Genomic DNA, 14,820 nt, shown 5'->3' with positions numbered 1-14,820 from the left:
AGGAAACCCAGACACCGATGCCTCCAACCTATGGATCTGATGACCTGAATTACTGAGTCCCCAAGGGGTCACACAGCCTCTGCACCCACACCCCCAGGCACAGGGTGCTCATCCCTGTCTGGGATGCCTTGTGTTCAGCCCCTGGGACTGAACTTACCTGCTGCTCCTCTCCACCAGTCCCTACACCTCTCCCCTCAAAATCCCCACCTCCAGGAAGCCTTCCCAGATAGCACCAGCCCCAACAACTTCCCTTCTCTGGCAGAGACTCCACTCCAAGCCCTAGACCCCTAGACTCCACTCCTGACCCCTCTAAAGCCCTAGAGTGATCCTGGGCAAGGCCCCTAACTCCTCTAGGCTCCAGATCTCTGGGTTATTCTCCTCTCTCCCCTCCCCTCCCAGGTCTCGGCTTGGCCTGAGCATCTGTGGACCGTATCTCGGGTTCCTGCCATCAAGGCTTACTGGTTCGAGCAAGTGCTGTGCAGATGGCAATGCCAGGGTGTCCATGTCTGTGGCATCCCTCCAGCCTCCACCTCTAGTCCTTCAGGGTAGGAACTCAACCAGTGGGGCTGTCCTGGTCACTGCTATGCCCAGGGCTCATGTTTTAGTGGACCTGAGCCCAGGCCTGTCCTGCCTGACCCAGCCACTGCTCCCCCTCTGCTTGTGGCACACCCACTTCAGATCCCTTGCCCTCTGACCAGGGACTCAGGGGCAAGGCCTGTCCCCACAGTGTCCTATAATGAAGCACACTCAGAAAAGTGAGCTCCCATGCTAGGAACTCAGTGGTGGGGGTGTGAAGGACACCCCTTGGGGCAGGGAGGAAGGGGGGCTGGCTCTCCCCATCCTTGCCAGCCCACCATTGCCAGCCCTGGGCTCTGACGGGTGGGAAGGTACCTCAGGGCCTCCGGAAACAGCAGACCAGAGCCTCAGAGCCTCTGGAGACAAGCAGACCATCTATCCTCGGTACTCTTGTGACCTCTAAAAAACCAGGGCAGCTTCCAGAAGGAGGCAGTGCGAGCAAGGCTCACTGTAGGATGGAGACTTGGGAGAGCGTGGAGGGCCAGGAAGGCCTCCCGAGGACAGGCCCAGATGCCTAATCCTGCCCTACCCCACGCCAGGGACATCTCAGCACCCCACAGACATGGTCTTGCTTCAGCCTCACACTCAGCTCTGTGACACAGGTGTTGCCATTTCCACTGCACAGGTGAGGGGTCATGTCAGAGAGGTGACATGACTTGTCCAAGATCACACAGCCTGTGAGTGGCAAAGCAAGGACCAGGGTCTCTTCAGCCACCTCATGACTCTCAGGGCCCCAGCCCCTGGAGTTCTCGCCCAGACTGACTGGGCAGCCACGGGCCACAGGTCCCCAGCACTGCCCTTACTGGCTGTGTGACTGTGGTGTCACCTAATGGCCCTGTTTCCACATTCTCTTCCATGAAATGGAGCTAATAACCCCGCCCTCCCATCACCGTGAAGGCAAAGGCGGCAGCGAGCAGAGCAGCTCTGTCCACACGCAGCAGGTCACCAGTGTCCACCCTTTCTCCCCCTCAGTGAGACGGCGTGGGGAGCTCCCTGACAGCAGGGCCAGGCCAGGCGCGGCCCTGGGCCCCTCAGCCACACTCCCCCGCCCACACAACGGCCCATCAGGCCCAGCGGGCACCACAATGGTCATGGTCAGGGAGGCTTCCTGAGAGGCAGGGCTGGCGCTGTGCCTGATGCCGGGAGGCTGGGGTGACACGGGGAGGCTGACGCTGCAAATGCCCGCCTCTCCCAGCCTCCTCCCTGCGGCAGAGCACAGCGGCCTGTCACTCAGCTGTCAGGTAAAGACACAGAAAACAAGGCCAGCTCCCTGTCACTGCGCGAGCAGCCCTCTACACGTGCCCACCACGGGTGTAGTGTGCGGGGGTTGCGGGGGTGGACAGGGGAGGCAGGAGGCAGACAGCGCAGCTGTCAGCCTGAACAGCAGGCCCACCTGTTCCAGGCAGAACAGCCCTTCACACCCAGCCTCCCCACAGCACCCCTCATCCCTCACCAGCCCCATCCCCAGACCTTCGCTACACCGGGCACTGAGGTGGGCACTGGGGGATACAGCAGGAAGACAGAGGGGGCCACTCCTGGGATGACTGGGGCATCACAACCCAAAGACTGAAACCCTGACGGGCACAGTGTGAAGACAGACACGCACACAGAGACGCCATAAAGGCAAGCCGCCCCACACAGAAATAAAAAACGCAGCCAGGTCACGCAGCTGAGAACCAGGCCCGCCAGCTCAGAGACTTGAGGCTGTGGAGAGACACATCATTGCACGGGGAGGGGACAGAATTACAGCCCCCACTGGGGCCGGGAGCATGGCACAGAGTCCAGGCCCAGAGACACACAAAGACAGGGAAACAGCCCCAAGACGCCTCCCCTCCCCTGCAGGGGTACACACACTGAGCGAGAACGGGGACGCTGCTGTTCCCACCGCAGCATGACTCCTCCAAGGGCCAGCAGGCCCAGCGGCAGGGAGAGGATGGCAGTGGGGGTGCAAAACTGACTCTACTTTCCAGCACACACATACACCAGGGCCACCTCAAGCCTAAGAGGAGGGCTGGGAAAACCTCTCCTTCCTGAGCCTGTGGACCCAGGATAACACTGGCGACAGCCTCAGCTTCTACAGGCACTTCTGCAAGCGGAGTGCCACCAGGCCTTGACCCTCAGCGCCCTGCCAGCCACACCACCGCCTGCCAGGGTTCCTCACCGGCAATCTCCAGGTCTCCATCCCCGGTCACAGAGAGTCCCTGCGCCCCATGCCTCCCCTCCCCCCACCGTCTCCTGGGTTGGCTCCTGGGTCGGCTGAGTTCTAGGCCATGGCCCAGGTCCCTGGCTGCCCCTCCCCCTCCCCGTACCTGGGCCTCCCCAGGCTCCTCGGCGTCAGTGCTGCTGCCCCCGGCAGGCTCCCCGGAGGCGGCGGCTGGGCCCATATCGCGCATGTCTTCCAGCGCGATGGTGAACTGGGCCAGGGTCTTCACCATCTGCAGCATGCGGCCGGCCAGCCGCTGGGGCGGGGGCGCCGGGGTGGCGGCGGGGCGGGGGGCGGGGGTCAGCGCGGAGTCAGGGGCCGCCTCCCACTCTCGCTCCCTAAGGGCTCAGCCCGGCCGCGGCGGCAGCCGCAGTGGCGGTCGCGGTGGTCAGTTCCAGCGTCGATCTGAGCGCTGCGGCCCGGCCGCCGGCGGCGCTGCTGCCTCCTCCGCGCTGGGAGTGCGCCCGGCGAGCCAGGCGCGCGCGGCCCCGTTGTGGGGAGGAGGGTCCCCGCCCTCTCCGCGCCGCCCCATCTCCCCCAGCACGCTCTGGGCTGCCCTCGCACCCGCCCCTTCCCCCACGCGGCAGCGTCCGCTCACGGACCCATCCCCCGCCCCAGGACACAAGTCGGCGCACACCCGTGGACAAAGGCGCCGACATGTACTTTCCGTCCGCACCTGTACCCAGCGCCGGCACACGCTGAACGCAGCTTCCCACCGAGGAGCCACGGAGCACGGGACACACACAGGGGCACGAACACACCTACACGGAATAGGCCACGTTCATGGAAACCTGCCCTCAGGCCTGGACCCGTATGCACAAGGGGGTCAGGCCAAGTGCACCCACATCAACACAGTCCCTTACAGACCTGAACCTTGACAGAAACGAACATGATCCATCGTTGCGCCCAGACAAGTGCTTCTGTGTTTACATAACTATTGCCAGCAGAAACAGGCACATATGTCCAGGCTCGGACATTTAGAGATGTGCACACATACACATCCCTGGTCTTCCACCCAAGGGAGGAGCTCTTGGGCCTGAAGGAGGGCAGCTATCACTCAAATCACCCACCTTGAATCATCCCTACCCCTGCCCGGATCCAGCTTGTCCTGTGTCCTATACCTGGGACCATCTTGGAGGGTTCCAGTCCTGTCCCTGTCCATCCGCCCCACCCCTAGACTGTGCTCCCACTCCTAGACTGTGCTCCCACCCCTAGACTGTGCTCCCACCCCTAGACTGTGCTCCCATCCCTAGACTGTGCTCCCACCCCTAGACTGTGCTCCCGTACCTAGACTGTGCACCCCTAGACTGTCTCCAAGCAGGATCCTCATAACGTGCTGCTTGAAAGCCCAGAGTGACAGCAGAACCTATCCTAGACTCAATCTGGACTGAGGGGTGGGGGCGAGCAACCTGCTTTTGCACCAGCTCCCACCCAGCAAGATGGGGGGGCTCTGAAGCACCCTGCAGCTGTGCCTCAGCCCTGGCCAACTTCATGCCTTTTAGTGTGCTGCACGCTGCCACGCTCACCAAGCCCCCAGCTGACTCCTTCTCCCAAACCTGCTTTCCCCTGAGTTTCCTGCACAGTGGACATCCTGACCCCATAGCTCAAGCCAGGCCCATCTGTCGACTCCTCTCATCTCTTTGCTTGATGTGCTCCAGCCACTTCCGTTTTAACTTCCAGAAACTGACCATGCCCTCTCCTGCCTCAGGGTCTTGGCCCATGCCTTTTCCCTCTCCTAGTAATGCTTTTTCTTTTCCTTTAAGACCAGTTTCGGGCGGGCGCGGTAGCTCACGCCTGTAATCCCAGCACTTTGGGAGGCTGAGGCGGGCAGATCACCTGAGGTTGGGAGTTCGAGACCAGCCTGACCAATATGGAGAAACCCCATCTCTATTAAAAAAAAAAATACAAAATTAGCCAGGTGTGGTGGCGCATGCCTGTAATCCCAGCTACTCGGGAGGCTGAGGCAGGAGAATAGCTTGAACCCGGGAGGCGGAGGTTGAGGTGAGCTGAGGTTGCGGTGAGCTGAGGTCGCACCATTGCACTCCAGCTTGGGCAACAACAGCGAAACTCCATCTCAAAAAGAAAAAATACCAGTTTTAGTGCAAATGTCACCTCCTTAGGGAAGCCCTCCCTGATCCTCAGATTAGGTCATGTGCATCTAATTTCTGCTCTTAAAGGCTCTCAGTTTTCCTTACCTTAACCATGTATGGCAGTTCGTAAATATACATTTAAGCAATTACTAGATTGAGGCCCGTCTCCTCCCAGGAGACTATATGCTTCCTGAGGGCAGCGTCCTTGTCCCTTTTGTAAGCCAGGGCACTTATAAGGAAGGCTGGCTTAATAAACAAGCCCCCAATAGCTCTTCCTCCTCCCTTCTCCCCACATGCCCAGCAGTTACTGACTGAGAGGCAGACCAGCCTGAATAGCTCTCTGCCTCTTACCCTCCCAACTGGATGGATTGTGGGCTTCCCTGCGGATGGAGCCTGCTCCTCCTCTTCCTCCTCCCAGGGCTGGGCATGCAGGGGGTCTGGAACAGCCAGACCAATTGACTGAGTGGTGGCTTGAAAGGGAGGATGGACAGGCCTGTGATCCAGTCCAGACATCCAGGTCCCACAGCACATGCAGAGTGGTGGTCTGAAGGCCCCATCCCTGGCTCATTGCTTGGTCACTGAGGATACTTAACCCACATCTGGCTTTCTCTCAGGGCACCTCGTCCCTCATCTGACCCTCTCAAGCTACACAACCCTGGGCATCAGCTTCCTCTGAGTGGCTGAGAGGCAGTGTGTGGCTCAGGATTTAGAGACGTGCATCCATTCCCTCACTAGTTCCAGTGGGATGGGGCCCTGCAGAGATCAGTCCACCCTTGTTTGCCTCCAGGAGCTCCCAGACAACACAGGGCTTTTTCTCATAGGGCTCAGCAGAGGGAGTCACTGCTGCTTCAGGGGAAAGTATTCAGGGAGGGCTTCCTGGAGGAGGCATGGCAAGAACAAGGTCCTGAGGTCGAGAGATCCACAGGCATATGGGTGCCCAGAAGACAGAGTTCACTGAAAGGCCCTGCCCCCAAGAAGGGGGCGGGACTTGGTGCCAAAGGCACTGCTTGCTGCTGCTGCTTCATTAAGGATGACTAATTAGATCCAAGCCTATTGTCTTGGCAATGGAGTGGGGCTGGTGGTTCGGGGAGATGAAAGGAAGCAAAGAGAAGGAACAGGAGCACATGGGTTGGTCGCTGAGGCAGGGTGTCCAGGGAGGGCCCCATAACAGCACAGGCATCAGAGCCCTTCAGGATGAGGTCAGTTGGGGTGGGGGCTGAGGGCACCAGGTGGGCCACGGTACCCCTATGCAGGTTGGTTCTGCTATTGTTCCTCTGAGCTCCTGTTCTGAGTGCTGATTTTATCTCCTTTGGGGTATGTGCAGTTGTATAGAATGAGTGTGGCTCAGAAGAGTTTTTGTAAGTATACAGGGTGCTTGGTGAAGGCCTACCCAGCCCTCCTCTCCATACCCCACACCCAACCATAAACACCTCTTCTCCCATGAAAGAGCCACACTCTCACCTGCTCTTTAGTCAGAGAAGGAAAGACAGAGAGGGGGAAAAAGGGCTCTGCTCTACAAGAGTACCACCCCACTCCAGGAGGGGCAGGCTGGGGGTCCCAAGTCTGTGGGACCACCTTTCTACCAGCCCTGGGGAGCACCTAACCCTCCCTACTTCTGCCCAATCTGCTAACAACTTCCCCATCTCTGAGGGAATCCCAATACCCTGACTACCTGCCTCTGGACACACCACCCAGTCTGAGCCCACCCATACCTCCTGCATCTGGGCACTGTCCACCTGGGGGCCACCTGGTCCTCCAGCTGGTGCTGGACCAAATGGGACCAATGATGAGAAAGGCTAGACACAGGGATGAACAAACAAATGGACAGATAACCGGTAATGGCTGAATAAATGAAAGGATGAAAGGATGAAATCATGATAAATGAATAAATAATAAATTAATGGATGAACAGATCAATGACAGTCATGAATACATGAATGAATCCACAGATACATGGTTTAATGCATGAGTAATCAATTGCATTTTTATTTTATTCATTAGTTGATTAGTTCAATAAATACTTATAGAGCACCTATTAGATGCCAAGCACTGTGCTGGGGATTTAAAGGTAAGGAAAGAGGTCTGTGCCCTACTGGGCACCACAGTCTACACAGGAAGACAGGAACTGAGAAAGAAATGGCAAGCATGATGCAGGTGGTGAAGGAGAAATGCCGGTACTGGGGCAGCAGGCCTCATCAGGCTCCTGGGAGTGGAGGCACAACCCTATTAAATCTTTGTCAAGAGAGTGCCTGGGCCCCAGAGCTGCCCAAACTGGAAGACTAGGAACCCCATAATCTCAGAATTGCCACACCACTAATGCTGTTTGGACAATTCTCAGGGGCCAGGCACCCTACCATCACTTTACACGTCCTGGCTCCTTTAATCCCCACAGCAGCCCCACATCAAGAACTCTATTATTATTACTCTCCCTTCTTACAAACTAGGAAACTGAGGCTCAGAGAGGTCACCTGGCTGGTAAGAGGTAGAACCCAGTTCTACCAGCCACCTCCAGGGCCCAGGCTCCTAAACCCCACCCTCTCCCCAGTGGGGAGAGCCCCACTCCACCTCCCCTGGCCTGGTGCACACAGCTGGGCTCCCCCAACCCCCACCTCCCTGGTGTGGTGGTTGCCTTTCTTCAGCCTCCTTTGTTCCAAGACAGTGACATGAACAGATTCTCCTGAAGGTTTAGGTGGTAAACAAACTGCCATCCACAGGCAATGCTAGAGTCAAAGAAGATCCTCTTCCCTGGGAACTCGGCCCTGGCGAATGGCCCACACAGACTGTCTGATGCTCCTGACCCCACCAAAGTCCACAAGCATAGGGTTGGTACGGGATGTTCCCAACCTAATGGGCTATCCATTTCCCTGACAGCCGCTGCCTTCCTCAGGTGCTCAGTTCATCAAGGAGATGAAAGTTCCAAAAGAGGGACTTTTTGGGTAGAGAGATTAAGAAGGCAGGCCCTGGAGCCAGAAAGCTCAATCCCAAATCCTGGCTTGGCCACTTACTGGGGAAGTGACCTTGGGCAGGACACTTCACTTCTTGGGGCCTCAGTCTCTCCATCTGTTCCTGCTTGAGGACTCTGTCTTCTTCCCATCCCCCTATCTTCTCTCCTCTCCTCCCTTCCCCCTGCCTTCCCTGGTCAGGTCCTGTTTCCTAGAGACCCTCTCTTCTGGAAAGAGGAGCCTCTCAAGGCTCCACAGAGTTCCCAGGCCTCTGAGGCAGCTAGAAGGGAAGTGTCCAAGCCACAGGGCTCCCTGGGGACTGGCTGCTCAGGGTGGGCTCCATAATTCTGGGGAATGTGCTTTGGGAATGGGAAGGAGAGCTCCTTAGAGCCTCAGGATCTTCCTGCTATGGGGACAGTGCCCTGCTTAGGTGGGTGCGTGTATGCACCTGGGGTGGGATTATGAGTGACACGACCTGTGTCCTCTCTGTGTGGACTCCTCTGTGTGTCTGTGTACACTCCTGTTGGGGTCTTCTGTGGACATGTGACTGCACAACTGGTGAGGGTGATGGTCCATAGGGTTCAATGGCAGAGACTGAAAGTGAAGGGGTCACTTCAATAATAATAAAAAATAGCTGGGTGTGGTAGTTCACGCCTGTAATCCCAGCACTTTGGGAGGCTGAGGCAGGAGGATCACTTGATCCCAGGAGTTCGAGACCAGCCTGGGCAACACAGGGAGACCTCATCTCTACAAAAAATACTAAAAATAGCCAGACCTGGTGGCACACACCTGTGGTCCCAGCTACTCAGGAGGCTGAAGTAGGAGGATCACTTGAGCTCTGGGATGTCAAGGCTACAATGAGCTGTTTTCCTCATAATCATCTTCAGGTAGACTGTATGTTTTGAAGATAGCTATCATCTCACATGCTTTTTTTTTTTTTTTTTTCTTGAGACAGGGTCTCACTCTGTCACCCAGGCTGGAGTGTAGTGGCGTGACAGCTCACTGCAACCTCAAACTCCTGGGCTCAAGCGATCCTCCTGTCTCAGCATCCTGAGTGGTGGGGGTACAGGTGCGCACCACCACGCCCAGCTAATTTAAAAATATTTTTTAGAGATTAAGCCTAGTCTTGAACTCCTGGGATCAAGCAATCTTCCTGCCTCGGCCTCCCAAAGTGCTGGGATTATAGGCGCGAGCCACTGCGCCTGGCCCACATGTTCTTCTTACAATGTGGTATTGACTCTTCCCACAGAAAGACGAGGTCCAGGTCCCCTCCCTTTGAAGCTGGGTAAAGCTTTGTGACTGCCTTGACCACAGAGCACAGCAGAAATGATACTATGTGACATCCAAAGCTAGGTCATAAAAATGCCATGTGCTTCCATCTTGCTCTCTTGGCTTGCTCATTCTTGAAACCCAGCCTCCACGTTGTGGGGAAGCCCAGGCCACATGCAGGGGCCATGTGTAGGTATGCCAGCTGACAGGCCAGATGAGGTCCAGCCAAATGCCAGCATTAATCACCAATTTGTGAGTGAGGATGCCTTCAAGGTAATTCCAGCCCAGCACTATCCGACCACACTGCATGACTCTCAGTGAGAAGTGCCTAGCTGAGGAAACTGAGGATCAGGGAGGTGGAGGAGCCATGGTCACACAGGCAGTGAGTGGAAGAGACGGAATGTGAACCCAGGGTCCTTCATATGCTGACAGGAGAAATGAAGGAAGGGGATGATTTCTGCACAGGCTAGATTTCATCTATTGCCCCAGAGGGGTCCAGCTGGGACTCCAACCTCACCACTCCTTCCAGAAACTGTCCCTGCTGGCTGAAAGGAGGATGGAGGTGGTAGCCCTCATTCCTTATGCTGGGACTCAGGCCCGACTTCTAACTGCTGAACCTTGCTGGTGCACTCTTAGCCCAGAAGGGACCCCCGTACCCACTGCGCTCCCAGCCCCCTCCTAGACCTCTGGGAATGAGGTGTGCTCACTGTATCCTTGGTGGGAGCTCATGTATACAGCTGGCTAATGTTTAGTGAGGCACTGTTTCTCATGTATTATCTCATTTAGTCCTCACACCAGTCCTCTGAGTTATGTATTCCTGTTATGGCCATTTTACAGATGAGGAAACAAAGGCTCCAGGAAGCAAAGCAACTTGCCTGAGGTTATGAAGTCAGGATGTGGCAAAGCTGGGATTTGACCCCAAGTAACTGGCATATCAGAGAAGCTGAGTGACCTCACCAGGGTCACAGAGCACATTAACAAGAAGTCAAGCCAAGCCCAGAGCACCTTGAATGAGAAGGTAGGAGGCTGTATTCTCTTCCATGGATGGCTGGGAGTTAGATGGAAATAGGACGGTCTCAATGTCTGCTCCCTGCTTTCCACAACCAGAAGATCCATAAGAGCAGAGACCAGGTCTCTTGACATACAGTAGGTGTACAATACTTATCTATTGACTGTCTTGCTTTGCAACTTTAGCCAAATTCCTCTCCACTCTGGGATTCAGTTTCCCCCTCTGTAAACAAATGGGGGAGAAGGGAAGGTGTAGATGGATTCTAAATTCCCCACCAGGCTTCCTGGCAGCAGAGGTGGTGGGGGTGAGGTCATGCTCAGAGGTGGAGGATGGACAGCTTGACCTTCCTTCCTGATTTCAGGCTTCAGGATTAAGCCTATGGCTCCAGTGAGGAAGCTGAAGCCCCAAGAACTGCACTTCCACCAGACGCCCACAGGTGGCAGCAGAGGCCCACATGGCAGGGGCTGTGGTGCATGTGGTTTGAATTTAACTGGTGGGTTTTTTTTTTAATGTGGGTTTTTTCCCTTTCTTTCTTCTCTGAGATCCGCCCCCCTCCCTCCCAATTTCAAGAAGATACAGCTGGACCTTCCAGGCTGGGAAGGAAAAGTTTCTCATTATGGATAATAGCGGGAAGCAGGAGGTGGGGCTTGAGAAGTAGATGGATAGACAGACCCCCAACAGATGTGAAAAACATCTTAGGAGCTCAGAAGCTTTGAATGCAATCATCCTCTCAGCCCAAGAGGCTGGGACTGTCACCCCCATTTTACAGGCAGAGAAACCAGAACCCAGATCTTCTGGGTCCCACATCTGAGTCTGAGCAGGGGAGGTTGCCCTGCCCTTGGCAGTCGAGAAGGACCCCACTGGTAATCCCATGAGGCCTTAGGGTAGGTAGGACTTGCTAAATCTGGCAACTCCTGCTTTAGGGCTCCCAGGAAATGCACCCACCTTCCCCTATGCACACTTCTGCCTACATACTGGCCTGGCCTGTGGTCCCAGCCCTGGCTTAAAACCTATGAATGAGATGACCTCCAGGGGCCCTCCTCTCCCAGCTCTAAAAGTTATTTCATTCAAAATGTCTAACACTGGCTCAGCACCAGACCAGTGCTCAGGGAATCAGGCCCTGTGGCCCAGGACCACCACCGTTCAGCCTCTGATTCCTGACCTGCACAGAGCACTGGAAAGCAGGGATCCCTTCCCTATCCTCCACCCAGTTCCCCAGCCTGCAGGGGGGCTGGGATCGTGGGAACGGAAGTTATCCAGGGTCTGTTTCCAGCCCCTCTTGTTCTCTCCCTCCCTCAGACCCAGGAGCAGGGGGAAGGGCTGCAGTCATGTGTTGTCGGTGGGATGGGGTGTCCTGCCTCTGGTGCAGAAGATGACTCACTGGGCTGTGGGCCAGGCACCCTGGGAAAGGCCAGGTCAGCCTCAGCCAGAGCCCCAAGGAGCTGAGGCAGGAAGGAGGGGGCCAGAGCCTGCCTCGGCTGAAGATAAATCCTGGGGGCTCTTGAAGCCCCACAGCCAAAAGAGGCTGTCTTCCCCACTTACCATAGTGCCAGAAATTCTATTCATGCCACCAGAGACCTAGGGAAGCCTGAAGTGCAATCAGCCCCCAGCAGCCTACGTGTGTGACCTCCCAGCCTCTCCTCTAGCCAGGCTGGTCTCTTCACCACTGTCCAACCCCAGTCTCCTCCCCACCTCTCCATCTTTGTGTAGACTGCTCCTCTGCCTGGGCTGCCCTCCTTGCTCTTGGCCCTGTTTAAACGCCATCTAACTTTTATGCTCTGCCTCTTCCTGGAAGTTTCTTTTAAGTCCTCCACCCTCCCTGACCTATCCCTGCTATAGACCAGGGCACTGACCAAACTGCCTGGTGCTAATTCCCCAATCAGCAGCCTCCTTTTTGGCATATTGAAAGACCTACTATATGTCAGGCTTGCACTCAGGCAAGCTGCCCAGGTACTAAGGGACATATAACAAAGTCTGTGAGCTCCAAAAGGGAGGGTGCACTTCTGCCTTGTTCCAGCAGCTTCCATGCCTACAACAGAGACTGACCCACAGTTAAGTGCTCAGTTCACATTTGTGAATTTGAGGATGAATGAAAGCAAGTATCAGTGTAATTAATGTGCACTGATTAGTTTAGAATGTCCATGTTCAATCCTCTCTTGAAGGAGGGAGGCAGAGAAGGGACCATTTCTACGCATTTGATATATGGGCACAGAGGCTCAAAGAGGAAATGTCTCATGACCCCCAGGGTGGCAGACAGTCAGCTGAGCTAGAACCAGACCAGACCAGGCCTCTGGAGCTCTCCCACTGTAGCTTGTCCAGAGAGGCCCAACCAGCTGGGTTGCACTGTGGCCCCTACCTCCCCTACTCCCACCCTGTTCCAGGACCCGGGTGACACTCTGAGGGGAGAGTAAGTTCTACCCATCAGTCGGTCACTCCAGCCCTGCCCCTGGGGACTCTGGCATAACCCAGAGCCGAGGGAAGCCCCCTCCCATCACACCAGGCAAGCATAGGGTGGTCAGGATGTCCAGGGGCAGTGACCATGCCCGTTCAATTATCCCTCCACCCTAGCCTCTGGAAGAAGTGGTCTCTGCCTCTGGCTGACCAACAGCAGCTTGGGCTTTTAGGCCTTACTGAATTTATCCACCAATGGTGACCAGCCCTAATGCCTGGACAGCGATAGTTACGTGTGAGTGCGCGCGCGCGTGCATGTGCACAAGTGTGCGCAGTGGATAAGATTCACAGCTGAAGGTCAGCCTGAGCCAAACCCAGGGTATACTCTCCTGAGGCCCAGGACAAGGCCACCACCGCCAGAAAGTCTTTCTGGTAGCACAGACCTGCCCACTCCCCTCCTCTGAACTTCTAGAGTTTCGGCCTTTAAAACTCAGGGTCTTTCTAGTCTTGTCATTATTATTGGCAATAAGTGGAACCACCCAGTACCTTAGAGTTTACAAAACACTTCCAGGGCCTAATTTCATGAGCTCTTCCGTGGGTAAAGCAAGGCTCAGTGAGAAGTCATGTGTGCTTAGGTTCTCAAGACAAAGAGGTTGGTGGGGCCAGGGCCCAAATCTCAGTGCCGGCACTGACCTGCTGTGGGACTGTGAGCAAATTACACAACCTCGTTGGGCCTGAGGACAGGAAGAGAGCAAAAGCATAAACCAGGAGGAGAAGATCTCCTGAGGGATTCCTCTGCGCTGCTTACTAAGCGCTCTGCAGGTATTATTTTAACCTCACAATAAGCCTCCTGGGTAGGCCCTATTATTACCCTGTTTTACAGAGGAAGATGATGAGGCATAGTTAAGGACCTTGCTCAAAAGTTAAGTACCTTGCTCAAGGTCTCTCAAGCAGACAGGATTCCCGCCCCCCAGGAACCCCAGAAGGAAGAGGTGTGGGATTATCTAGGAACCCGGAGAGAGGAGCATGTTCTAGCCTAAGGGAGTGACCCCGGGAGCAGCCCAGGCTCCCAGCATGAGGACGCCCACTCGCCCACTCAGCCTTTTCCACAGCAGGGAAAACTGGCGACAACCTCAAGGTCCAACCACAGGAAAGCCCAGAGATTCATGCACTTACTGAAATCTTTGAAATGCTATGGAGAAGTATTTGGGTATAACATCAAATGAAAGAAGCAAGAAGCATACATTCTGCACCATCTCAATGTTATTTAAAATACACACACACACACACACACACACACACACACACACACACACACACACACACACACACGGAGAAAAAGCCTGGAGGGAAATATACCAGAACATTAACAGTGGGCAGGGGCCCTGGACAAAGGTGGGTAGAGGGGTAGAGCCAGAGACCACTCTCCACTGATGGCTTCCCGACCTCCAGAAGACCACATCTGTGCCTCAGTTTCCCCATCTATAAAGTAGAGAATATAGAGGGCTTACTTCCCACAGTGCCCAGAACAAAGCATGAGTTCAACAAATATTGGCTGTTATGAATAACCAGAATCTCAGAGGGCAGGTCCCCTCAGGGGTCAGTGGTTGGCTTAAGCACCCTCCTTCCATGGCAGGCCTCCCTGGCAGCCCTCGCTGGCATATCCGCAGGGCTGACAAGCTCCCCCTCCCATGGGGCCATGGTAGCTCCTTTCACTATGGGCATGTCTGCTTGAGAAAAAGCCATGCTGGGCTGGACCCCTCAGTCTCTGGGTGGCCTTAGAAATGGACAGCAGTCACCTCAGGAAGAAATTTCCTCCACCTCCCATTCAAAAATCCTTTGGGCTCTGATGCTTCTGTGGGGTGATTCTCCAGGTGAGAGCTGGGAGAGGTTTTCCAGGTGGCTCTCTTGTCCCCAGCCCAGGTGACCACCTCTATCCCTCTCTCTCTCCAGGACAACAGAGTAGCATTTGTTGGCAGCACTTTGTGCCTTTTCCATTTTCTCCTTTGGAAAACAAATGAGAAGCCAGCTGAGTCTGACCTCCTCCCCCCGCACCCCCCCACTCCCCCTCGCCCAACCCTCCAGGCCCCCAGGGGTGGGAGGCCCTTTCTGCCTCCTCCCTGGACAACAGGACTGGTGGAGAACCCCAGAGGAGGGGCCCTGTGAACTGGCTGTTGCCATGGCAATGACAGCCCTGGAATTTGACCACTGGGGCCCAGGAGTGGGGGAGGGGAGGTGGTATAGGCTACGCTGGGGCCAGGGAGGAAGGTCCAGGGGCCCAGGAAAGCCAAGAAGAGCAATGCAGGGCAGGGGTCCAGGGTCCCCTCCATGGCCTCAGTT

The 14,820-nt window shown here is 55.7% G+C and overlaps 1 protein-coding gene and 1 long non-coding RNA gene across 2 annotated transcripts in view, besides 1 other annotated feature; both read right to left on the bottom strand.

The window, feature by feature from the left end:
• ARHGEF17 (Rho guanine nucleotide exchange factor 17) overlaps nucleotides 1-14,820 on the bottom strand; it is a 61,113-nt gene that overhangs the window by 23,226 nt on the left and 23,067 nt on the right. The window lies entirely within an intron of this gene.
• On the bottom strand, nucleotides 6,827-14,546 carry LOC124902710 (uncharacterized). The gene is made up of 2 exons (XR_007062774.1): nucleotides 14,280-14,546; nucleotides 6,827-13,962 (listed from the first exon to the last, which is right to left on the bottom strand). It is a non-coding gene; the product is annotated as an uncharacterized LOC124902710 (long non-coding RNA).
• Nucleotides 12,182-12,895: an enhancer, noted in NCBI's record as "H3K4me1 hESC enhancer chr11:73044313-73045026 (GRCh37/hg19 assembly coordinates)". NCBI's record gives its function as "activates a minimal SCP1, AML or CMV promoter by ChIP-STARR-seq in naive H9 embryonic stem cells {active_cell/tissue: H9 hESC(naive)}" and the evidence as "EXISTENCE:reporter gene assay evidence [ECO:0000049][PMID:30033119]".

This window comes from Homo sapiens, chromosome 11 (genome assembly GCF_000001405.40).
Source record: "Homo sapiens chromosome 11, GRCh38.p14 Primary Assembly".
NCBI classification, from domain to species: domain Eukaryota; kingdom Metazoa; phylum Chordata; class Mammalia; order Primates; family Hominidae; genus Homo; species Homo sapiens.
The sequence above is the reverse complement of the archived record's forward strand: the minus strand, read 5'-3'. Positions and strand labels throughout refer to the sequence as shown.